Here is a 24,702-nt window from a genome sequence, read left to right as displayed (position 1 = left end):
CCCTTCTGAGAAGCATTGACAGTATTCCAGGGGTGGCCAGCACCCTGAAAACCACAGCAAAGCGGGCAGAGTTAAAATTTAAGACTAAAAATGACAGCATCAGGCATGCACGCGGGAAGGAACAGAACAACCAGCTCCAGGGGTTCCCATCACCCAGGGAGGCCACCAACGCCCCAACCAGGAGCCATAGCAGCAAATTTATGAAAAAAATATTTTATTCCAAAACACTGTTTACACAAATGTGTGGTCTTTGTACAAAGTACAAAAAAACCCCTCTTCTCATCCCCACCTCCCTTCAGAGAAGTTTAAACCTTGGGCTCTCAATCTTCCATGGTCAGCTGCCCCTGACTGCGAGTCCTACAGCCTCAGAGGGAGGAGCGTGTGGGGTTGGGAGCAAGGCCTCACCAGAACACAGCCAGTTACGCAACAGCGCAAGGCCTGCTCCAGGCCCCACCTCCAGCGGAGTCAAACCAGATCAGCTTTTACCCCTCACTCCAGATTCCACAGGCACGCAGCACATGGCTGATTTGCAGCTTGTCTTTCACTGCAGTTTTTTGTTTTTGTTTTTTCCAGGAGGCAAGAGGACCAACCCTCCAAGTCCCGGGGCCCCTGTCCACCCACCATATCCTAGACCCAATCTTTTCTACCTCTTTGTCGACAAGGTTACAAACAGAGAGGCAAGCAAAGAAGGCTGGGGCCCAACGGAGGGGAGAGAATATATATCCCGGGAAACGTGGGCAACAGCATCATAGACTTGAATGAAGCCCAAGGCCAAGCAGCCAAGCAAGGACTAATTCAGAGCAGCTCAGAAACCCTCACTCAAACCGGCGGCCCCCCTGTGCTAAGGACATGGCCGGGCCCAGACGCGCTCTCATAGGGTTCACAGAGAGTCTGGAGTCCACGTTCACTAAAGTATAAAATACTACTCGAAAATGAACCCCAGCCTCCCTTCTGAGAGATGAATCGGTTACATCAACACATGAGGACAGATGCATTTACATAGACCCACACACTCTCTCTTTCTCTCTCTCTGTCTCTCTGTCTCTCTCTCTTAGGAGGGCAAAGCTTCTCACTCCGGAGTGAAACTTCAGCTTACAGACGTTACCTGTCTCCCCTCCCCTTCTGAATCATCTCATTCAAATAGCTGCTGAGCAGATGAGGGGCCCAGGAGGAATAGGTCTGGCTGCATTGAGTGCCTGCAGTGACAGAGGCTCGGTCTCTACCATGACAGAGACAGACTCGGCGCACTCTTGGATGCCATGATCTGAAAAGAGGCCACCGCTGCTGCAGCCACATCCCAGGACTGCACAGGGGAGGCAGGCGTAGCTCATGCACAAGGACACACACACACACACACACACAAGCACATGCATGCCTGCAAAGGTGTCAGTGTACACAGCCTTACTAAACTCACAACACGACCGCTTCACATTGCATATTGTTTCCAAAGAGAAGCGTGGGATTCAAACATTCATGAGAGGGAGCCTCTGGCAGAGGTGAAAAGACCGGCAGGGGGCGAGAGGCGGGAGTCAAGACTGTCCATTGGTCGGCGTAAGAGTTCCTCCACGTGCCTGGCCACATCCATGGTCTCATCCAGGTCGAATTCTCCATCCTGATCGAGTACATGGTCAGGGCTGGTAAAGACAGGGGGATGTCAGAGGGAGCTGGCATGTCTCACAGCCTCAAGCTCCCTGGGGACAGCCTCCAGCCTGCTCTCCACTCAAACCCGTCTCATGAGAACAGGACCAGTTCTGGCTGGATGCCCCCACCCCACCCCAAGCTGGGTAGCAGTCAGCCCACTGGCTTCTGCAGACCCCCACTCTATTCGCATCTCTTGCTAACTCACTGAATAATCTTAGGGAATTCATTTCCCCTCTCCGTGTCCTCATCTTAAAACCAGGTGGCTGACACAGTGGGCTCTGCCCACCTGCAATGATGCTCAGCTGCAATGGTAGGCACCGCCCCGTTCACTGAGCACTTAGAACAGCTGAATCTTTTCACTGAGCACCTAGAACAGCTGAGCCTATTGAGCACATGACTCCAATTTTTACAGCCAACTGGAGAGTGGGTATTGACCCCGTTTTATAGACGAGAAAACCAAGGCCATATCAGGAAGCTTGCTCTGGGCCACCTGGCTGGGAGGTGGTGGAGTCCGGATTGGAACCTGGGATCTTCAGTGGTCCCACTGGAAGGTGGTACCTCCCAGACATCCAGCCCTGGCTATCCACAGTGAGGAAGGGAATTAATTATCTACCTTGTTCCCACCAGACTCAAGAACAACCACCCCATTCATAGCTACCCTGTATCAAGCCCTTCCAAGCCCCTCCCTGTGGAAATGCTTCACCCACACTGTCTCAGTTTAATGCTCATCCCATTCTCATGAGGCAAGCATTCTTGCCTCCGTTTTACACATAAGGAAACTTGAGCATCAGAGAGGCTCAATCATTTTCCCAAGATCACACAGTTAGTACTAGAGTGAGGACTTGACCCTGCTATGTCTAGCTTCAAAATGCTCTGTTTTCCTGGCTGATCTCACTCCTCCTGGACTTGGGCCTAACCAGAGCTCTGGATCCTTTGCCCGCCAGCCCTCCAGGAGTCCAGCCTGGGGCCAAGTCCCCAGTTCTTCCCCTGCGGACCCCATGAGAACACCACCTACTTCTGTGGGTACATGTTATAGGGAGCCTGGGGGCACACAGCTGGGGAGGGGGCCTGGTCCATGTACGTGGCGCTGCTGCCCCCAGCATCTGCAGATGCATTCACAAACCTGCAGAAGGAAGAGAACAGAGCTTCAGCCACCAGGGAGGCCGGGGCAGCTGACTTGGGGAGGGGACCGAGGGGCATGTTTGTCTTTCTCGGGGTGTAGACGGACAAAGTGCCCCACTCGGCCCTGGGGCTCCAGCTACAGGAGAGGGGACTCCCTCCCCAGGGCTGAGACAGGTTCCCTGGGGGAGCGGAAAGCTGGGCCCAGGATCAGGATGGGAGGCAGGGTCTGGGGGAGGAGGAAAGAGGCAGAAGGAGAGCCACAGCCACCTGGACACTTACTCAGGGACCACTTGCTTGATCTGTGGTTTCACATATCCATCAACAGCTTTAGCTGTCAAGGGAAGAACAGTGGTGAGAACCAAAGTCTCTGGGAACTCCCAAGTGGGGTGGAAGCCCACGCCCCATGTAGTCTCCCTCCTGCTCACATCACCTTGTGTTCTCAGCTGGGATGAGATTTCCCAAGGACCCCCAATAAACACCAGCTGATGAATCCTGCCTGAGGGTCACTGAGACCCCTGGCTTGAATCCCATTCCTTCTGGTTCTTTTTCTGGCCATCTGATTTCCCTCTCCCTGCTCCCACCCCTGTCAAAGAATGAGAATCAACAAGCAAACCCAACCAATGGATTTGGGGCAGCTGGAAGAAGAGAGACTTCTCCCTTTTGCTGCCTGCACTCCACTCGGGGGAAGGTTTGTGAGCAGGGTGTGGAGAGCAGCTGGTGAGGTGGGGAGCGGAGCACTATCTGTGGGCTCGAATGATCCCGGCCACTCCCTACAGTGCTGCCACCCCTTCCTCCGAGGGTGCAGAAGTGAGAATCCATGCAGCTTTCACTTTGCAGAGAAGAGAGCTGGGACGGGTTTCTCGTTCCCTCTCCTCATTTGTGAGCCCTGAAATCCTCTCCACCACCCCATGGGCCAAAACCCACAGGGGACATGGCCCCTAGGCTCCTCCTGGGGAAGTCCCCACGGCGCAGCCCAAGGCTTTGTCTATGGGCTGGGGAAGAGCCCGGGGGAGTCAGCCGGCAGGGTCCTGGGGCAGTACCCACCCAGCACAGGAGTGTAGTACTTGGAGAAGACCTCATCCTTGGGGCGGTCAGGAAACACATAGATGAGATAGCTCAGGTCCCCCAGCCGGTCAGCCAGGGACCTGATGGAGAAATCCCGCGTGGTGAATGGTTTCAGGTTCCACAGGTTGCGTTCCGCTGTGAAAAGAACAGCCTCATTCCCATAATCCACCAGCAGCAGGAGGACCAAGGTTGTGGGGCTTTAGGGCAGGCTTGCAAGAGAAATCTGGGCTTTTATATAGTAGCTTGCGCTGCAGCCCCAGCCTGTAGGGAAGAAAGCCGATGCGGGATGTTCTACTCAGCAAACCAGATGAGCAGATACCAACAAGGCTGGGTCGTGGCAGAGAGGGGAGAGCGTGAAACTGCAGGAGGACTCGCCCAGCCGTCCTGGAGTCTATGGGGCTGGGGACTTCAGGTTCTCCAAAATGGAAAACAATAGAAAGAGAATACATTTCCAAGCCACAGCCCTCTCATACTAAGCTTCCCGCTGGGTACCTTCTAAGGACACAGGCCCGATGGAGGGTGGGGTGGCGGGGCAAGGGAACAAGAGACCGGGCCTTGGGGCTGGAGTGTGGGCAAAACGGGCACTCACGGGAGTCAAACTTCCAGGCGATGGTGATGCCCCCGATTTCTGAGTCACTAAAGCGCAACAAGAAGGTCCCGTCGGGCTTGTTGATGAGCAGGTCGTGGGCCTGTTGCTTATTCACAAAACCTAGGATGGCCCTGGGTGCACGGAGCATTGAGCGTCACCACTGGGCCACAGCCACAGTCTCTCTGCGCCCACAGCTGGCCCCTGACCCTGCAGCCCCCGTTCCTTACCCATCATTCCAGTGGGGCTTGTGGTGCTTCTTCAACACCTCCATCACCCCGTCAAACCACTGCCAGAAGGTGTAGTTCCAGCCCGGCAAGTTCTCCTGAGGGCCCAGGAACCCCCGAGTCAGGGCTGGTGCCCCAGGTCACAGGTGGCCCAGGAAAGTCAGGGCCCTCCTGCCCCCACCCAGTCTTCTCCCAGTTCTTCACCCCTGCTTGCCACCACACTCCAGCAGACCATAAAGTGACACAGCCCCCAACTTGTACCCTAGGAAAACAGAGAGGAAACTCACTTCTAAGACACAGGGGTCCAAGACCAGCCCAAGGGTGGGAGTAAGAGGTGTAAAGAATAATCTAGGCTGGATGGGGCCTCCAAAGTCATTCCTCCAAAGTCATCCCCTCATTTTACAGGTGGGGAAACTGAGGCACAGAGAATGGATGGGTCTTCAAAAATTAGCAAGGAGAGAGGCAGAAGGAGAGCCAGAGCCACAGGCGTGGTGGCTCACGCCTGTAATCCCAGCACTTTGGGAGGCCGAGGTGGGCGGATCACCTGAGGTCAGGAGTTCGAGACCAGCCTGACCAACATGGTGAAACCCCATCTCTACTAAAAATACAAAAATTAGCCCAGCATGGTGGCAGGCACCTATAATTCCAGCTACTCAGGAGGCTGAGGCACGAGAATCACTTGAACCCGGGAGGCAGAGGTTACAGTAAGCTGAAATCACGCCACTGCACTCCAGCCTGGGTGACAGAATGAGATTCTGTCTCTAAAAAAAAAAAAGAAAATTAGCAAACACATCTAGGCCCAGAACCCAAGGATCCTGACTCCCAGCCCTGGGCCCTCCGTCATCTCGCTCTTGGCTTCACAACTAAGCACAACTCCTATAGCCCCTGCCTGCATTTCTTGAGGCTAGGGGCCCCCATCTCTCCTGGTTGTAGGAGAGAGTGGTTGGGGGTGGAGAGTGGGGTGCTAGCCCCAGGCAGTAACCTGTCTGTGAGGTGGAGGAGCAACAGACCCCGGTGGGCCCTGGTGGGCGGCTGGCAGCTGGGCCCCTCACCCTGTTGAACTGGGACCAGGACACGGACAGGCCACTGTAGTCCTCCAGGTGGCTGCTGCTGTTGTTGAACAGTTTCTGCGCCAGGAACACGAGGTTCTCCTTGGTCAGGCCCCGGTTGCTCTGCACTTCGGCCTTGAATTTCATGTTGAGCGCCTCACACAGCTGCGGCCACAGCACTTTGTCAGGCACGGCAAATGGCACCCTGCCCTGAGAGGGAGACAAGAGAGGGGAAAAGGTAGATTGAGGGAGTTGGAAATATTCACACACACACAAGATACACAGACACCTAGAGACAGAGGAGACTGAGACAGATCCAGAAAGGTGACACAAATGCAAGGGCAGGAAATGCGGCGGCTTTTATATACTAGCTTGCACTTTTTTTCCCAGCCTGCAGGGAAGAAAACCGATGCAGGGGGTGGGGGCATGCAGGGACAGAGATGCAGACCAGGAAACAGAAAACAGAGAGCAAGGACCCAAGCCATCTGCCAAAGGAGGATCCCAGACCAGGATCCAAAGACCAAGCTCACAGTCCTCACAGACCCCAGTCCAGGAACCTGGAACCCAGAGTGCCAAGGCCATGGTGGAAGGCAGGCGCCCAGCACCCCAGCCCTTCTGGCCTCACCTCACCTCTGGGCTGGCCCTGGGGTGAGGAAGGACCACTCAGCAGGGGCCCAAGGGGTGGGGCTGACCCCAGGTGAGTCCTAGGGCCTGGGGGTGCTGGGGTAGGGCTCCCACGGGGACTCACCGGCTCAGCAAAGGCATTGTCCCACAGCACAGTAGCCGTGGCATTGTGGTCCTGGCTGCCGTGGACGATGACAACCACAGGTAGGGACAGAGTCTACAGGAGTCAAAGGAACCCAAGTTGATGGGGCGTGACCACCACGTGCCCTCTGCTTAGGCAACATGCCCAATCTGCTTTATTTTTTTTTATGTATTTTTTTTTTTGATATGGAGTTTCACTCTTGTTGCCCAGGCTGGAGTGCAATGGTGCAATCTCGGCTCACCACAACCTCTGCCTCCCGGGTTCAAGCGATTCTCCTGCCTCAGCTTCCCAAGTAGCTGGGATTACAGGCATGTGTCACCACACCTGGCTAATTTTGTATTTTTAGTAGAGACGGGGTTTCTCCATGTTGGTCAGGTTGATCTCGAACCCCTGACCTCAGGTGATCCACCCTCCTTGGCCTCCCAAAGTGCTGGGATTACAGGCAAGACCCACCACCCATGGCCGCAATCTGCTTTATTTTCTTCGAGACAGGGTCTCGCTCGGTCGCCCAGACTGGAGGGCAGTGGTGCAATCACAGCTCACTGCAGCCTTGACCTCCTGGGCTCAAGTGATCCTCCTGCCTCAGCCTCCAGAATAGCTGGGACTACAGGTGCAGGCCACCATGCCCAACTTTTTTCTTTTTTTTGTAGATACGGGTTCTCACTATGCTGCCCAGGCTAGTCTTGAACTCCTGGACTCAAGCAGTCCTCCCTCTTCTGCCTCCCAAAATGCTGGAATTACAGGTGAGAGCCACCACACCTGGTCCCAACCCACTTTCCTCACCCACAGTTCCAAACACAAGCCCCTCCCAGCAAAATGTAGGCACAAGCAAACAAACAAAAACTACAACCGACTTCTTCTTAGCCCATTGCCTAAATTGTCTGGGTTAGTCCCAGATTATAACCTATCAAACAGGGACCCACAGAGTCAAAGCAGGCTGTCCGATGGCATTGCTGCCAGGAGTCCTGAGGCAGGCCCCTCCACCTCTTGGGTGACCTGGAGCAGTGGGGGCAGGAGGGCTGGGGGTCTCACCTTCACCTGGAACACAAGCTCATTGCTGCCAACACTGAACTGAGACTCAAACAGGACTGTGAACTTCTCCTCTGTCACGGACTCTGCACCCCGCCGGTCAGCACGCTTGATCCTCTTCAGTGACTGCAGGGTGGGAGGTGACAGGGGAACAGGGAGATGGCGGCTGCTTACAAGGACTCAGCTCTGGGCAGACCTGCCCTCCGAGGGTGGGCCCCGTCCTCACCATGTTCCTGAAGTGGGCACTGAGGGTGCCCGTGGCTTGGTGGTACTCCATCACGCAGCAGTTGTTCAGGATCTCACCACTGCACTCGCTGCAAAGGAGAGGGGGGTCCCAGCTCCACATGGGCCCCAGGCCAGGAGCATGGTCCTGTCCACACCTCGGGCTGGGGTCTTCGCTCAGGTCAGCCCTGCCAGCAGCCCCTGCCCCGTATCCCCTAAGAGTGTTTCTTGGCGTCTTTCTGGGTTACTGACTTCTCCATCAACCTGGTGCCCAGCACCCAAGGCAAGGTCTCCAGTGGTGAGGTCTGGATCTATCATTAGAAATTCCTCGATACCAAGATTGATGTGAGGGCTTTGGGGACTTCCAATAGCTTCTAATGCACTTAAGATAAAAATCACAACCACAGTCTCTGAGGATCCCTATGGTCAACACCTACCCACCCCCCTGGCCTCACTGAATTCCTCTCCCCTCACTCAGGACATGCAAGCCCCGTTGGCCCTGGCTGTCTGCTGAACATGCCAGGCTTGGACATTGGCCCTTGCTCTTCCTGTCACCCCAAACACTCTTAGCCTTCTCCTCCTTCAGGTCTCAGCCCAGATAGCTCCCCAGAAAGGCCTTCCTGGACCACTTATCTGGAGAAGCTTACCAAGCTGACCTTTCCTCACCCCCGCCTTAAACACATCTCCAACGCTAGCAGATTGCTCTTTTTTCTTTTTTTTTTTGAGACAGAGCTTTGCTCTTTTTGCCCAGGCTGGAGTGCGATGGTGCAATCTCAGCTCACCACAACCTCCACCTCCCAGGTTCAAGTGATTCCACTGCCTTAGCCTCCCAAGTAGCTGGGACTACAGGCGCACACAACCATACCTGGCTAATTTTTGTATTTTTAGTAGAGATTGGATTTTGCCATGTTACTCAGGCTGGTTTCGAACTCCTGATCTCAAACGATCCTTCCACCTCAGCCTCTCAAAGTGCTGGGATTACAGGCGTGAGCCACTGTGCCCAGCCTAGATTGCTCTGTCTTAACTTCTTTTCCAGTGTCTATCACTGGTTGGCCCTGCCTGATCTTTTAAAGTGTATTATCATCAGTCTCCCCAGCTGCAATGCAAGCTCAAAGGCAGTGAGAAGGTCATTTGTCTTCATCTTCACCCCAGATCACATGGTAGGAAATCAGTAAACTTTTTTTTTTGAAACAGAGTCTTGCTTTTGTTGCCCAGGCTGGAGTGCAATGGCACAGTCTCGGCTCACTGCAACCTCCACCTCCTGGGTTTGAGGAATTCTCCTGCCTCAGCCTCCTGAGTAGCTGGGATTACAGGCTTCCACCACCATGCCCAGCTAATTTTTGTATTTTTAGTAGAGACGGGGTTTCACCATGTTGGCCAGGCTGGTCTCGAACTCCTGACCTCATGATCCGCCCGCTTGGGCCTCCCAAAGTGCTGGAATTACAGGCGTGAGCCACTGTGCCTGGCCTTTTTTTTTTTTTTAAACAGAGTCTTGCTCTGTCATAGGCTGGAGTGCAGTGGCACAATCTTGGCTCACTGCCACGTCCACCTCCGGGTTCAAGTGATTTTCTTGCCTCAGAGTAGTTGGTAGTTAGGACTAGAGGTCCAAGTAGCTGGAGCTACAGGTGTACGTTACCAAGCCTGGCTAATTTTTGTATTTTTAGTAGAGACAGGGTTTCACCATGGTGGCCAGGCTGGTCTCGAACTCCTGGCCTCAAGTGATCTGCCTGCCTCTACCTCCCAAAGTGCTGGGATTACAGGCGTGAGCCACCTCGCCCAGCCTCAGTAAACATTTTTAATTGGATGACAAGGGATGGGGCCATGTCTTCCACATCACTCATTCACTCATTTATTCATCCCCTGCATACGCTGTGGGTGGCCTGCCCTGACACTGGACACTACTTCTCCACTCTCTGCTACACATAATGTCTCTGTACTCTTCCCTCAGGATGTGGCACATGGGCTCTGCCTGAAAGTCCTCCCTCTCTGCTACTTCCCTCCCTATCACTAGCTACCTCCAATTCCACCAGGAGCCTAAGACTGTCATTTCTTTAATCCTGCAAGAAGACCCCCTTTCTCGGTGCCCTACACATCCCCCTGCCACATGGCTACACCATCAGGCATTTCCCAGCATCTGCTGCCTGCTCTGCTGCTCAAGGGGCTGGGCGAGAAGACAGCCCAGTTCTGTTGGGATCACAGTTTTGTCCTCAGTGCGTAGCACAGGTTCTAGAACACAGCTACAACACCATACTTTGTGTGATTTTTTTGGAGACAGGGTCTCACCCTGTTGCCCAGGGTAGAGTGCCATGGCACAATCATACCTCACTGTAGTATCAAATTCCTAGGCTCAAATGATCCTACCACCTCAGCTTCCCGAGTAGCTGGGACTACAAGTGCGTGCACCACCATGCCCAGCTAATTTTAAAACTTTTTGTAGCGATGAGGGTCTCCCTATATTGTCCAACTCAAACTTTTGGGCTCAAGTGATCCTCCGACCGTGGCCTCCCAAAGTGCTGGGATTACAGGGGTAAGCCACGGCATCTAGCCTAGCACCAAGCTTGTTGCAGGGACAGGGAAGGCATCTGAGTAGGAGGAAGGCAGTGTACCATCTGTCCCAGATTTAATGATGGTTTGACATGATTGTTTGAATTTACAATGGTGTGAAGCAATACACTTTCAGGAGAAAGTGGTGTGATAGTCTCTCACAATGCTGGGCAGTGGCAGTGAGCCTCAGCTCTCCGGCAGCCACACCATCCCCAGGGTAAAGAACGGATACTCGGCTGGGTGTGGTGGCTCACGCCTATCAACTCAGCACTTTGGGAGGCTGAGGTGGGAAGACTGCATGAGTCCAGGAGTTCGAGACCAGCCTGGGCAACACGGTGAACTAGGGGACAAGACATAGCTGGATGCAAGGACAAAGCGGGGGGTGCAGGTCCCCCACACCTAAGCTTGGGCAGGGGAAGGGAGAGGCACAATTACTTGCGGGTGTTCTCATTTTTAAGCAGAGACTTGGCCTGCTGCTCACTGATGATGGTGGCCTTCACCTGGGGGGGATTCATGTGCACGTTCAGCTTCCCGCCCACCAGCAGGCGTACGGTGGCTGCAAACTTGGTCTGGGTCTTCAGGACCTGAGGAGGCTGCTTCTCAATGATGAATGTGCTGCATGGGACACAGGGACAGACACACGATGAGGGGTTGGCGCAGGGGAAAGGGCTCTCAGTCCCTCTGTGGTGGGGGTGGGGCTGCCTCCCATGGGGCTCAGGAGGTGATGAGCTCGGGCACAACCTCTGTTCCCGGGGAAGCTGTGAGAGTCCAGGGAGAGGATGGAGAGGGGAGTGAGATAACACAGCAGCTGGCATGGGCTGCGGCCCAGGGTATCTCTTGCAGTGTCCACAGGAGAAACTGGGCAAGGGCGGCACCTAGCAGCCACAGCAACTGGAGATGGAGTTGGGAGGGATGAGAGGCAGGAAGTGGATCTGCTGGTCTGGAAGGCACCTGCAGCTCCCCCCACGCAGGCAGGAGCTGCCCCAAGCTCCTGGGCATGGCAAACAGGCAGCAGTCACCTGGTCACCAGGGCTGAGATAATGTCCGTGATGGTGGCGTTGACCTCGGCCAGCATCTCCTCCACTGGGCCGGGGATGGGCAGCTGCTGGCAGAGGTGCTCAGCCCTGCGGATCTGCTGCCGGTTCTGCCAGATGATCTCGGCCAACTTCTCACACCTGCACGAGAGCCCCAAGGCCAACAGGAGGACAATGGCTTCTCCTCACAGACGCCAGGCCCCAAGACACAGCTCCCGTTCCCCCAGGAAGGCTCTGTGCTTTCGCCACACTTCCCACCCATGGGAAGAGCAGAGCTCCCTGCCTCCCAGAATTAGAGACGTACACAGGAGGGGCGACCCTGACTAGGCCCAAACAGCCCAAGCATCACCCCACACACCCGAGCCCCATCCCACCCCCAGGACAGCAGCCCCCTTCCTGGGGGAGGTGCACAGGATGGGGACCAAAGTCTGATTGAGGAACCAGGCTCCCTGGAGAAACAAGAGCTGTCCCAGGATGGAGGGGGCCTGCTGCAGGAGCCAGCACAGGACGCAGAAGCAGCCGGGGTCCCCACCAGCCCCTCCTGCCCTGCCCGCTGGCCGCCCCACACCATTACCAGGACTGTAGCACGTCCAGGCTGCCCTCGGGGGGCCCGCCGTTCCCGGCCAGCTGCTGCCGCCGCTTCCACTGGATCAGCTCGTCATCCAGGATGATGGTCTGCTGCTTCCGCAGCAGCTGCAGGGTCTTCTGGTGCTTCTCGGCCAGCTCCTGAGGGAAGGGAGGAGAGCAGCCCCTTCTGGGCTCCCAGAGAACACCGCAGGGCCTCGCTGGGAAATGGCAGGGCAGGGCCCAGGCCGTTCCCTCTCCCCAAGCTGCTCTGCCTCGCAAGGCCCCCAGGAAAAAAGGCCTCCTGCCCTCCCAGGTTCTGCTCTCATGCTGGTCCCAGCCCTCCCTCGGGTCCCCAGAGACTGACTTCATGGCACCCACGCCCAGGAGAGGCCCAGGACCCCACTCACCACGCGGTACTGCTGCAGTGTCTGTGCCTCACGCTGCAACCAGGCCTCCAGAGACACCTGCTTCTGCTGGAGGGCCGTCTCCCGGCTCAGACGCTCCTGGGGGCTCAGCTGGGCCAGCTGGGCAAACTGAGCTAGAGGAGAGAAGAGGAAACCATGACCATCACCTCCTAGTGTCCAACAGGAGGCCTAGAGAAGCCCACTCACCTGTTCTGGAGCGAGACCCTCCCAGGCTCAGACACTGCATCAAGAGCAAGTCGGGGTTCCTGACAGCCAGGGGGGCCAAGATGAATGGCGCCTCAGGAGGCGCCTCTGGGCCCTGCTCACCAGCCTCCTGACTCTGAGCCGTCCCCTCTGGGGGCACACGGGTGCTGGGGCAGCTGGGGAGGAGGCCTGCCTGCCTCCTGCCCGCCTGCCTCACAGGGCTGCCAGCCCTCTTCTCGCGTCCCAGCATGGGTCCAGGCTGTCTGGGGTGTAAGTGTGCCCATGCCCTTGACTGCAGGTGAACCTGGGCAAATCGCTTTCCTTTCCTGTGCCTCAGCTTCCCCACGTGTAAAACGGGAGATTCTCAGCACCTGCCTCAGTGGGGTGCTTGAAGATTAAATACATGAGGACATGGAAGATGCCAGAAAGCTGCCTGACATGGGTGAGCTCTGTGTGAGGTTCGTGCTTCTTGGTTAACGGGGAACAGGACAGAGAGAAGAGGTGACAGAGACAAGCAGCTGCTCGGCCCCATCCCTCCCGCAGCAAGGCCTCTTCAGGGAACCCCAGCCCCGGCGGCTCTGTCTCGTCCCTGAGCACAGCAGTCCCTCCTCAGGGGAGGATGAGATTCTTGAGGGGCTGGAAGGGGCCCAGCATGTTTGTCCAGGTGGGCTCACTGTGAGCCCAGCCGACCAACCAGGGGAGACAGACAGATAGACAGACCGCAGAGGGAGAGCGTGTCCAGGGCCACTGGGGATGCAGAGCCACCAAGATTCTCTCAGGAAAGGGAGGCCGAAGGGAGGCGGCTTCCCTCCACACCATCTGTGAGGAGTCTCATTGATGGCGGGACAGGGAATAAGTCAGGCCTCACTAGCTTTTAAAAAGTATCCATCATGGGGCTGGGCGCAGTGGCTCACGCCTGTAATCCCAGCACTTTGGGAGACTGAGGCGGGCAGATCACGAGGTCAGGTGATCGAGACCATCCTGGCTAGAGACCATCCTGGCTAACACAGTGAAACCCCATCTCTACTAAAAACACAAAAAATTAGCCGGGCATGGTGGCGGGTGCCTGTAGTTCCAGCTACTAGGGAGGCTGAGGCAGGAGAATGGCGTGAACCCAGAAGGTGGAGCTTGCAGTGAGCCGAGATTGGGCCACTGCACTCCAGCCTGGGCGACAGAGCTAGACTCTGTCTAAAAAAAAAAAAAAAAAAGTATCCATCATGTGCCAGGCTCGGTGGCTTACGCCTGTAATCCCAGCACTTTGGGAGGCTGAGACAGGCAGATCACTTGAGGTCAAGAGTTCGAGACCAGCCTGGCCAACATGGCAAGACCCTGTCTCTACTAAAAATACAAAAATTAGCTGGGCATGGTGGCGCATGCCTGTAATCCCAGCTACTTAGGAGGCTGAGGCAGGAGAATTGCTTGAACCCGGGGTTAAAGGTTGCAGTGAGCCGAGAGCACCACTGCACTCCAGCCAAGGCAACAGAGCAAGACTCCATCTCAAAAAAAAAAAAGTATCCATTATGAAATACGTAAGACACAGGGGATGTGGAACACAAGGGCGCCTGTGTATCAATAACCCAGGCTAAGAAAGTAAACATGTCCACAGTTACAACCACCACCGCAGGCCCACCCCACCCTCCCAGCGACAGCCCGTCTCCACCACACTGGGACTATTAATCCCTTCCCATCACCTTCTCAACAGCCCAGCGTCCTTGCTTGAGCTGAGTCAGAAGATGCGCGCACCAGCATGTCTTGGTCGAGCTCCTGGCTGGCCCCTGAGGGCCACGTCACTCTGACCCCAGCCCTGACCCATGGGATGCACAAGCTGGGACAGACAAAAGCAACTCTATGTAGCCAGGAACAGCCCAGAGCTAGAACTCAGAAATATGGCTCCAATCTCACTGCAGGTATCGAGCAGGAAGAGGATCATCCAGGCACGGACAGATCCGAGGTGTCTGCACGGCTACCTCGGGTATCCTGCCCAGCCACAGGGAGGGTGGTGGTGATCCCAACACCTGGGCCCAGCCTTCCTATGCAAGGGACCCACTTAGGGCTCTCCTGGAAATTTGCAGAAGCTTTTAGGAAGGAGGCCAGGGAGACGGGAAGCAATTTCCCTACTCCACTGGAGGCAGCTGAGCCTTCCCTGGCAAAAGCAGATCAATAGTCTGTGTTTCTGCTGAGTGAACTTGACAAATGGGACTGAGAAGACACTGCATGATAGATCCAAACCCAACCTGAATCCAAACCTAATCCGCCACCATGCACAGGAAACAGAAAAGCCAGGCACGGGATCAGAAATACTGTCGACAGTCTAAGGACTTGGGTAGGAATAACCGCCCAAAATCTTCCGTTTCCATTCTCAGAAGGAGCTGCCCTTCTTCTAGGGCCAGTCTGGGATAGATTCAGATGAGGGGAAATTCTCTTAGAATTATCCTGTCAGTATTGGCTGGGCACCGTGGCTCACGCCTATAATCCTAGCACTTTGGGAGGCCGAGGCAGGCAGATCACTCGAGGCTAGAGGTTGCAACCAGCCTGGACAACACGGCACAACCCTGTATCTACTAAAACTACAAAAAAAAAAAATTAGCCAGGCATGGTGGTGCATGTCTGTAGTCCCAGCTACTGAGGAGGCTGAGGCATGAGAATAGTTTGAACCTGAGAGGCAGAGGTCGCAGTGAGATGAGATCGTGCCACTGCACTCCAGCCTGGGCAATAATAAATAAACAAACAAACAAACAAACATTTAGAATTATCCTGCAAGTATTTACATAATAGCTGCAATATTCAGGCATTGTGCTGGTCTCAGTGTACACAAAGCACTGACAGTGCAGGGTTAGGAAGAGAGCTTAAATAGCTACAATAGAATTCTAAAAAAATCAGCTGGGCGTGGTGGCCTGCACCTGTAGTCCCAGCTATGCGGGAGACTGAGGCACAAGAATTTCTTGAAGCTGGGAAGCAGAGGCTGCAGTGAGCCGAAATCATGCCACTGTGCTCCAGCCTGGGCGACAGAGCAAGATTGTCTCAAAAAAAAGAAAAGAAAAAGAAAGAAAAGAAAAGAAGAAAGGTCTAAAATCAATGACCTAAGGTCTACCTTAAGAAATCAGATTAAAAAGAGTAAAGGAAAAAGCAGTTTGACACCCCTTGTTCTCACTAAGATGAGGTGTTACATTTCTGGGGTCAGTCTGGAATGGGACATATTAATAGATGGGCCATGTCCCATGACTCCTCAAATTGTACCTGGGGATAGTTCCTTTCAAGCTAATTTGATTTTTTAATTTCCCCACATCTTTATCATGGGAGCCATTGGCGAACTACAGACCTAGGATACAGGAGAATTTTCTACTGTCACCCCTTCCCCCAGGCCCACATCCTATCCGTGAGGCTCAAGAAGGCCCACTTTGGAAGTTCCACCTCTCCCAGCCTGGTTCAACCAGAAGACTTCCAATCCAAGTCCTCCCTCTGGTTAGGGAGCACTGTTCATATTTACCTATTTGTGTCGATATTTACAGAATACATACCATTAAGGAGAGAATACTGGTTAATAAAGTACAGGAGTTTTATGATATATCTCTAGTTGAGATCCAGTTCTGTAATTTACAGGCAACCTAGGCCAAGTTACTTGTTCTCTTTGAACCTCACTTTTACCATCTGCAAAAGGGGGGATAACACAACTGTTCACTTCATAGGCTTGTTGAGAGGGTTGAATTAAATAATGTGTGCCAAGTGTGACCCACGGCAGGGGCTCAATCACCGGGAGCCATTGCTTCTACCAGGCTTTGGGCAAAGTGCTGAGGAGATGGACACTGACCCAGCTCTACCCTCTAGGAGTCCATAGAATGTTCCTCACTCCCACCCTCCGGATGCACACTGCCTCCACCGCGCCTCACCTTGGATCCTCAGGCTCTCCTGGTACTGGATGATGAAGTACTCCTGAGTCTGCTGCAGTTTCTTCAGCTCATTCTCTGTGTCCTGCGTGACCAGTCGCAGCTCCTCAAATGTCTGGTTGATCTGAAGGTGCTTCTGGGACATGGCGTCAACCAGGATCCCAGCCGGAGAGCTGCACTGGAGACAGATGGAATGGAAATAACTCGGGGAAGAGAGGATGGGAGAAGACCACAGGCATTAGGAAACACCAATACTACAGACCCCAAACCCCAAACCCCAAACTAGGGTAAGAAGGGAAACTAGGGCAAGAAGGAAGGATCATTTGCATCAGAAGGAGTCATTTGCCAGAATTGGGATAGAAAAGGGAAAGAGAAAGGAGAAACAGGTGACCTGGCAGATAACGGCAGATAGTAACACCTTCAAAGTCCAAATATCTATGTCAGAGCTGCCCTCCACTAGAGTATTCCAAACAGGGTCCATCTAATTTCCTCCCAGGGACTAGAACTCAACACGTCCCAGGTGTCACCTGGGTTTTCCCACTAATGATGATGACCCCTCGCTCTACATTTATTTGCTGACTCAATACCATGGACTGCAGTAGATCCTAGGGACATAGGGAGGAACAGGGCTGTGTGAACACACACCATCTCACTTAAGACCCCCTTGTGACTGAAGGAAGAGGGAAGAGGCCGAAACTCTCACAGGCATCCTGGAGACCCCGAAATGAAGTTAGAGGGGAGGCATCAACAAGCTCCCCTTGGATCCAGCCATTCCTTCAGCACATTCAGGAGAATCGCTTGAACCCAGGAGGGGGATGTTGCAGTGAGCCGAGATTGCGCCACTGCACTCTAGCCTTGGCAACACAGCGAGACTCCGTTTCAAAAAAAAAAAAAATAGAGAGAGAGGGGTAGAAACCAGGTCACAAAGGGAGGGAGCACATGGATGAAGAGGAACAAGTCCTCAGAGGCTTTCCAATGAACTGTTCTCAGAATAAAATCCAAACCCCTTCCCATGGTGTCTGCTGGCCATAGCCCTGCCTACCTCCAACCCCAGCTCGCTGGGAATGTGTGCTTTCTGTTTCTGTTCCTTGAACACACAGGCATGTTCCTGCCCTGGGGCCCTTGCACTTATTGTTCCAACAGTCTGGAACATTCTGGCATCAGATCCTCCTGAGGCAAAGCACTTTAACTGGTACCATTGCAGAGGGGTCATCTCTGACGAGCCAATTCACAGTAGTCCTATCTAAAAGTGTGTTGTTCTTGTATTTGCTTACATGTTTCTGTCTGTCTCCCTGCACAAGGATGTGAGGTTCCCAAGGGCTAGGACCTTGCCTTTCCTGTGAACTACAGAATCCCCAAGCCCTAGAATGCCAGGGGTGTTCAGGAACAGTTGTATGGTTGGAGGAAGGAATGAGCTCCCAGACCATGACAGCACCAGCACCATGGACATGGATTTGTCAATGAGGCTGAAGTCATTTTTAGGTTTGCAGATAGCTCTGTGATGGCAACAAGTCAGGGACACAGGGGCTGTGCTGGAAGACCCTTTGTGACCTGGTTTCTAACCCCTATTTTTTTTTTTTTTATACAGAGTCTCGCTCTGTTGCCCAGGCTGGAGTGAAGTGGTGCAATCTCAGCTCACTGCAACATCCCCCTCCTGGGTTCAAGCAATTCTCCTGCCTCAGCCGCCCGAGTAGCTAGGATTACAGGCGCCCGCCACCACGCCTAGCTAATTTTTGTATTTTTTAGTAGAGACTGGGTTTCACCATGTTGGCCAGGCTGGTCTCGAACTTCTGACGTCAGGTGATCCGCCCACCTTGGCCTCCCAAAGTGCTGGGATTACAGATGTGAGCCACCACGCCTGGCCCTCTCTATCTATTTTTATCCATGGCAACTCCCCACTTGGTTCCTTCTCCCCAGTTACACTGACCACTTACAAGTCTTCCAATGTGATAAGAAGATTCATGCCCTCCTGCTCTCGCAGCTGCTGTCTTTTCATTAGAAAATTCATCCCTCCTCTCCTGCCTTTCTCCACTGTAGCTCAGACATGCCTGTCCACAGGACGCTCCCCTGCCAGCCTGCCCCAATCTGAGTTGGGTGCTTTTTCCACCTAGGCCCCCTTAGCACTCAGCTCATCTCTAGAGAATCCATCACTGCCAGAATTCCTTCCAGGCAAGAACCAGGCCTTTATGTGTTTCTCTGATGATAGCCCAGCATCGGACACACAGTAAGACCTCAATAAATGTCTACTGAGTAAATCCTGAAATCCATGTCCACAACAATAAATACGTAATAGGCCGGGCGTGGTGGCTCATGCCTGTAATCCCAGCACTTCGGGAGGCCGAGGCAGGTGGATCACTTGAAGTCAGGAATTCGAGACCAGCCTGGCCAACAGGGTGAAACCCTGTCTCTACTAAAAATACAAAAATTAGCCGGGCATGGTGGTGGGCCCCTGTAATCCTAGCTACTTGGGAGGCTGAGGCATGAGAATCTCTTGAACCCAAGGGGTGGAGGTTGCAGTGAGCCGAGATCACGCCACTGCACTCCAGCCTAGATGATAGAGTGAGACTCAGTCTCAAAAATAAATAAACAAACAAACAAATAAAGAAAGAAATAATAAATATGACCTGTGCTCCGGTCACTGTTCTAAGATTTCTGTCACGTCATGTTGTGAAATTCATTTTGCTCTATTGCAGATAGTACAGCACTGTGCCATTGTCCATGTAGATGCCCAGTGCCTTTATTATTTCAGAACTGGGGAGATGTGTCCCTGTTACCCCTCCCTGGGCCTCACTTCTCTGAGCCTGCCTGTGTTAGTTCTTCTGACACAGATAGGTATGATTGCTATCTCCATTTTACAAGAGTAGGAACAGGCCGGGCACGGTGGCTCACGCCTGTAATCCCAACACTTTGGGAGGCCGAGGCGGGTGGATCATGAGGTCAGGAGTTCAAGACCAGCCTGGCCAACATAGTGAAACCACGTCTCTACTAAAAATACAAAAAAAATTAGCCGGGCATGGTGGTGGGCACCTGTAATCCCAGCTACTCGGGAGGCTGAGGCAAGAGAATTGCTTGAACCTGGGAGGCAGAGGTTGCAGTGAGCAGAGATCACATCACTGCACTCCAGCCTGGGCAACAGAGCAAGACTGCATCTCGGGGGGGAAAAAACAGTAGGCGCCAAGCGTGGTGGCTCACGCCTGTAACCCCAGTACTTTGGGAGGCCGAGGTGGGCGGATCACGAGGTCAGGTTGAGACCATCCTGGCTAACACAGTGAAACCCCATCTCTGCTAAAAATACAAAAAATTAACCGGGCATGGTGGTGGGCGCCTGTAGCCCCAGCTACTCGGGAGGCTGAGGCAGGAGAATGGTGTGAACCTGGAAGGCAGAGCTTGCAGTGAGCCGAGATCACGCCACTGCACTGCAGCCTGGGTGACAGAGCAAGAATCCGTCTCAAAAAAAAGAAAAAAGAAAAAAGAAAAAAAAACAGGAACAGAGGCTCAGAGAGATTAAGCAACTTGCTCAAGTCACACAGCTAGTAAGTGGTAGAGCCAGGGACTGGATCCAGGGGGTCACTCCACCCCGGCGTGCAATGCTGCCACCTCTTACACTTGCCCACGTCCCTCATCTTCTTGGTGCTCTCCTCGTGCTGCTGTTTTATATAAACACAGTTGTTTCTGGAGAGAAAGGCATATGGAGGGACTTCTCAACACTCCTCCCCATCCCCAAGGGACACTCACATTGTTGGCTTCTCGGACCAGCCTCTGTTCATTGTACAGAATGTGCCGGATGCAGCGGACCAGCTCCAGGGGGCAGCGGTCATATGTTTTCTGAAAGAATCCAACAGTAGCCTCCAGCGCCATCCTCTGCTCCAGCCATGCCAGCCCCATGCTATGCCCAGCCCTTCCTCTCCTTCAGCCTCTGCCTCAGCTTTTCCCAGGGAGCCTCAGGAACTATCCCCAGACACCTCTATATCTCTGTTCCTCATCCTCATCTTCCCCTCCAAGATCTTCATATCTGGTTTGGAGCGAATTAAAAACCCACAGTTTATGAGGCACTTTCTCTTTTTTTTTTTTTTCTTTTTGAGATGGAGTTTTGCTCTTGTTGCCTAGGCTAAAGGTGCAATGGTGTGATCTCAGCTCACTGCAACCTCCACCTCCCGGGTTCAAGCGATTCTCCTTCCTCAGCCTCCTGAGTAGTTGGGATTACAGGCATGTGCCATCACGCTCGGCTAATTTTGTATTTTTAGTAGAGGCGGGGTTTCTCCACGTTGGTCAGGCTGGTCTCGAACTCCCGACCTCAGGTGATCCACCCGCCTCGGCCTCCCAAAGTGCTGTGATTACAGGTGTGAGCCATCATACCCAGTCTTATGAAGCACTTCCAATCTACCGTATCTTTTGACTGTAACACAGGGGTCCCAAACCCCTGGGCCATGGACTGGTACAGGTCGGTGGTCTGTTAGGAACTGGACCACACAGCAGGAGGTGAGCGGCGGTGAGCAAGTGAGTGACGCTTCATCTGTATTTACAGCTGCTGCCTATTGCTCGCATTACAGCCTGAACTCTGCTTCCTGTCAGATCAGCAATGGCACTGGATTCCCATAGGAATGCTAACCCTATTGTGAACTGCACATGCGAGGGATCTAGGTTATGCACTTCTTAAGAGAATCTAATGCCTGGTGATCTGTCACTGTCTCCCATCACCCCCAGATGGGACTGTCTAGTTGCAGGAAAACAAGCTCAGGGCTCCCACTGATCCTACATTGTGGTGAGTTCTATAATTATTTCATTGCATAGCACAATGTAATAACAATAGAAATAAAGTGCACAATAAACGTGATGCTCTTGAATCATCCAGAAACCACCTCCCTGCCCAATCCCGGTCCATGGAAAAATTGTCTTCCATGAAACCGGTCCCTGGTGCCAAAAAGTGGTGGGGGATCAAGGCACTAACAGCATGGAAACTCTAGGACATAAGCAGAAACTATGATCCCCATTTCACAGATGAGAAAACTGATGCTCAGACATTATGTACTCGTCCAGACGCAACCAAGTGAGAGAGCAGATGACTCCAGACTCAGGGCATCTGATGCCAAGGTCAAGGTACTTCCCACCATCCTGCCCCTGGCCTCCTATATTGCTTCCCCTCAGGCTTCTCCTGTTTTCCCCCTCTTCTGGGATGGACTTGTATTTCCCTGGCACCCTGCTGTCTGTATTGAAGGGCTCTCTAGGAAACATACGTGAGTTCCAATAAGTGCTTGACTGTCATCACTACCCACACCCCTTTCCTGCTTCCACAAAAACTCCCTCTCTTCCTCCATACCCACTCCCCTCAAGTAAAGAAGCTACATCTTATTTCTAAACCCTCAATTCAAAGCCCTTGTGTCCAGCTCTTGTCTCTGGGATGGCTCCTCTCTCACCTTTAAAAGACCCCAAGAGGGAGGTCTGGTGGCCTCATTTCTAGAGTCTGCTGGTCTTCCCTTCTCCAACATAGGAATCCTGACTCAGTCTCCCTCCATCCCTTCTGCTGCTTCCATAAGGCCAGTTCACCCATCTCTCTCTGTTGGCAACAAACACCTCCCACCCTTGCTTTGCAATATGCTAAAGAAATCCGACAGGTCGAATTTAGAAAGAGGGGGTGGGGGAAATCGAAGAAAAGTTCCCAATAAGTTCGTGGTCACATGGTGAGTCAGTGGCCAGGCCAGGAAAAAACCCAGGGGTTCTGATGCTGGAACAAGATGATGCTTCCTCCCCGTAGGTGGCCCAGAGCCTACACCCACCTGGAGCTGCGTGGCGTAGTGCCCCAGCTTGATCTTCAGTAAAAACCCATCTTCCCCCACCTGGTGCTCCGCCTTCTTCTGCAGCTCCTGCACCAGGCCCTCCAGGAGCTGGGTGGCTTGGGCTCTGTCCTGGGGATTGTCCAAGTCAATGGCATCCCTTGGGGCAGGGCAGAAGAGAAAAACCTACTGTGGCACCTCCTTGGGCAAGGAGGTCAGGGAGCTGGAATAAAGTGGAAACCCCAGGCTCATGACCGAGGGCACTCCAGGGCCCACAAGACTTGTTCCCAGCAGCTCCACAGACATCCGAGTCTAAAAACATTCTCTGTCCTCCCAGGCTTCCCCTTTCCCAGGGGCACCACCCCTTCCGCACAAAGAAGGACAGGCAGGACCAGAGTCACACCAAACCACCATGAGTAAAACTAGAGGCCAAAGGGCCTGGATGGTAGGGACCCTCTGAGGAGGGGCAGGGCGGGACGTGCCTACCATGGCTGGCTCTCAATCCACTGGGCCAAGTAGTGCCGGACCTCGATGGGGAAGTGCTGGCCGTACAGCACCTGCATCTGGCGCAGCGCGTCTCCCTGCAGCTGCTGGGCCTGGATCCAGCCCGCCATGGCCGTTCACCTAGGGCGAGCCGAGCGCTGAAGCGCTCTCCTCTGCAGAGGCCAAGGAACCGGGCCTGCCCCTGGCCTTGCCATGCCTACCTATCCCTGGACCGCGGCCAGGCCAGGCCCCTCCCCTCCCACAGATAGCTTTCCTGTGCGGGAACAGAGATGGTGAGGAGTGGAGGGCCGCCCATCCCCTCCAACAAGGAACCCGCTGAAGGGGAGGGGAAGGTGCTCTGCAGAGGCAGGTGCCCTCCCCGTCTTCCTCTCCCCTCGCCCCACCGGAGCTTCCCTAGTGAGGGGGACGGCCAGAAACTGAAAGAGAAACTTGACGGCGGGAGGCCCACAGGCCCCCTGGAGAGGGCTGCAAGGATCCCCCAGCCCACCTCGGGCCCGGTTTCTGGGAAGGGGAGATATTCCAACCCGAAGTTAGGCCAGCGCCACGACGGCTCCCACTCGACGGCTAGGGCTTTTCGGGCACGTGGCTGGGGCTGTTCAGGAGACAGGGCTGAGGACTTGGGCGCTCCCCTCTTCGGCTGCTCCCCCATCTGTGCACTAGTGCCTCCCCGGGTCCAGCCCGACAGGTGCTCCCTCTCCGAGGCGTGCCAGGACGGCGCCCTCCCTGGCCTCTGCCTTTCATCCCCGACCCCTGTCCCCACGTCCCCCCGTCCCTCGTCTGCGCTGGGCCAACTCCCTCGCAGTGCCGGGGACTGATCCCCGCGCTGCGCCCGGCCGTCGAGCTCCGGGTGCCGGAGGTGCCGGGGCGGCAGTAGAGTGTCCCCTCTCGGCGCGCCGCCGAGGACGCGCCACCGGGTCACCCACCTGGTGGGGCCGCACCGTCCGGCAGCCGGGCCGGCTCTGCGCCCCGCGGCTCTCGCTCCCGGCCGGGGTTCCTGGCGGCGGCGGCAGCGGCGGCTGTTACTACAGGAAGGAGCGGAGAGCAGCGATTTCCTCCTCAAAGGTCAGCTGCCTGCGATAGACCATACACAGCGCGCGAGCCCGCGCCAGCAGCCCTCCCAGCCCCGCTTGCTCCCTCCCTGCCTCGCCCTCAGTCGCCGGCTCCCCTGCAAGTGCGCAACAGCGGCGGCCGTTCCCGGCGGGCGGCGCCGGGCGTGGGGGCTGCCCCGACGGCGGGGTCCCCCGGGAGTCCCAGCAGGCCCTCGGCGGCGGCTCCCAGGGAGCGTCCCGGAACCGGGGCGGGTCAGAATAGCCGGGGGAATGTGGTTGTCGGGCGTTGCCGGGAAATCCCGGGCTCTGGAAATCCCAAACCTGGGCCTCAGTTTTCTCATCCGCAAAAAGGGAGGAGGGAAAAGTGGACCAATTGGCGACGCCTTCCAGCTCTGGCGCGTGTCATCTTTTGAGCCCCTAGATTAAAAAATAAATGTGTGGGGTGTGTGTGTGCACGCGCGTGTGTGCGCATGTGTGTCTTGGGGGCCACAGGTTTTGTGACCTCAGAGACAAAACTGTAGAGAGGGGAAGAACTGGGGATTCTAGTGAAGCCAAGATCACCCCCACCACCGCAGCACCTCCCTCCTTCTTTTACTCCGGCCATCTAAACTCAACCCTGACGGAGGAACTGGAAAGAATCTTGGCAGTCATGTGTTTCAGCCCTCCCCCTCTCCACAATTTTGCAGGTAAGAAATGGAAGTCCTGAGAGGGAAAGGGGCTTGCCCGGGGCCACCCAGGGCCACACAGTAGGCACGTGGCCTCACCAGCCGACTGTGATCCATAAACTAGCCAGCGCCCCCGTTCACCCAGCCTAGTTACTTATGAGGCTGGTTCTACCTTCAGAAAAGTCCAGGGAGGGACCGTCTTGAGTCCTCCTAACTTCGAAACTCTCTACAGGCCTTGCCACAGCAGTGAATATCCTGTCTAGAGCCTCAGTCCCCCTCTCCAAGAGGCCCCTTCCCACGAGGCCCAAGGGGTTTGGTAAGGTCGGGCTGGACGCCTTCCATCCCCTTTGCCCAGCTTCCCTCTCCTCT

General features: G+C 54.7%; 2 protein-coding genes across 11 annotated transcripts in view, besides 5 other annotated features; one reads left to right on the top strand and one right to left on the bottom strand.

Moving 5' to 3' along the window:
- STAT5A (signal transducer and activator of transcription 5A) lies at window positions 198-24,702 on the bottom strand. 9 transcript variants are annotated; one of them, XM_047436589.1, is made up of 21 exons: window positions 24,506-24,594; window positions 23,990-24,085; window positions 23,543-23,690; window positions 22,602-22,739; window positions 22,119-22,275; window positions 20,080-20,169; window positions 16,348-16,522; window positions 12,260-12,390; window positions 11,860-12,011; window positions 11,271-11,426; window positions 10,687-10,866; window positions 7,712-7,799; window positions 7,489-7,611; window positions 6,439-6,531; window positions 5,694-5,900; window positions 4,645-4,739; window positions 4,418-4,548; window positions 3,808-3,963; window positions 3,043-3,094; window positions 2,657-2,764; window positions 198-1,634 (listed from the first exon to the last, which is right to left on the bottom strand). In XM_047436589.1, the coding sequence occupies exons 4-21, from the start codon at window positions 22,727-22,729 to the stop codon at window positions 1,472-1,474; spliced, it is 2,385 nt and encodes a 794-aa protein (XP_047292545.1). In that variant the 5' UTR covers window positions 22,730-22,739; window positions 23,543-23,690; window positions 23,990-24,085; window positions 24,506-24,594; the 3' UTR covers window positions 198-1,471. The 9 variants fall into 9 exon arrangements, with proteins under 9 accessions (XP_047292545.1, NP_003143.2, NP_001398032.1 ...); NM_003152.4 differs by having other exon boundaries at window positions 23,543-24,085; NM_001411103.1 differs by lacking the exons at window positions 2,657-2,764; window positions 3,043-3,094 and having other exon boundaries at window positions 24,506-24,702.
- Window positions 1,201-1,250: an enhancer, noted in NCBI's record as "active region_12194". NCBI's record gives its function as "activates an Ori minimal core promoter by ATAC-STARR-seq in GM12878 lymphoblastoid cells {active_cell/tissue: GM12878}" and the evidence as "EXISTENCE:reporter gene assay evidence [ECO:0000049][PMID:35858748]".
- Window positions 22,580-22,639: an enhancer, noted in NCBI's record as "active region_12193". NCBI's record gives its function as "activates an Ori minimal core promoter by ATAC-STARR-seq in GM12878 lymphoblastoid cells {active_cell/tissue: GM12878}" and the evidence as "EXISTENCE:reporter gene assay evidence [ECO:0000049][PMID:35858748]".
- Window positions 23,290-23,969: a silencer, noted in NCBI's record as "silent region_8521". NCBI's record gives its function as "represses an Ori minimal core promoter by ATAC-STARR-seq in GM12878 lymphoblastoid cells {active_cell/tissue: GM12878}" and the evidence as "EXISTENCE:reporter gene assay evidence [ECO:0000049][PMID:35858748]".
- The window catches only part of STAT5B (signal transducer and activator of transcription 5B), an 89,194-nt gene continuing 88,262 nt past the window's right edge, over window positions 23,771-24,702 (top strand). For both annotated transcript variants that reach the window (XM_047436593.1, XM_024450897.2), the window contains exon 1: window positions 23,771-24,354. The gene's annotated coding sequence lies outside the window, so the exon portion shown is untranslated. The remainder of the gene's footprint in view (window positions 24,355-24,702) is intronic.
- Window positions 23,990-24,069: a silencer, noted in NCBI's record as "silent region_8520". NCBI's record gives its function as "represses an Ori minimal core promoter by ATAC-STARR-seq in GM12878 lymphoblastoid cells {active_cell/tissue: GM12878}" and the evidence as "EXISTENCE:reporter gene assay evidence [ECO:0000049][PMID:35858748]".
- Window positions 24,086-24,586: an enhancer, noted in NCBI's record as "H3K4me1 hESC enhancer chr17:40439573-40440073 (GRCh37/hg19 assembly coordinates)". NCBI's record gives its function as "activates a minimal SCP1, AML or CMV promoter by ChIP-STARR-seq in primed H9 embryonic stem cells {active_cell/tissue: H9 hESC(primed)}" and the evidence as "EXISTENCE:reporter gene assay evidence [ECO:0000049][PMID:30033119]".

This window comes from Homo sapiens, chromosome 17 (assembly GCF_000001405.40).
Source record: "Homo sapiens chromosome 17, GRCh38.p14 Primary Assembly".
Classification (NCBI taxonomy): Eukaryota; Metazoa; Chordata; class Mammalia; order Primates; family Hominidae; genus Homo; species Homo sapiens.
This window is presented reverse-complemented; position numbering and strand designations above follow the sequence as displayed.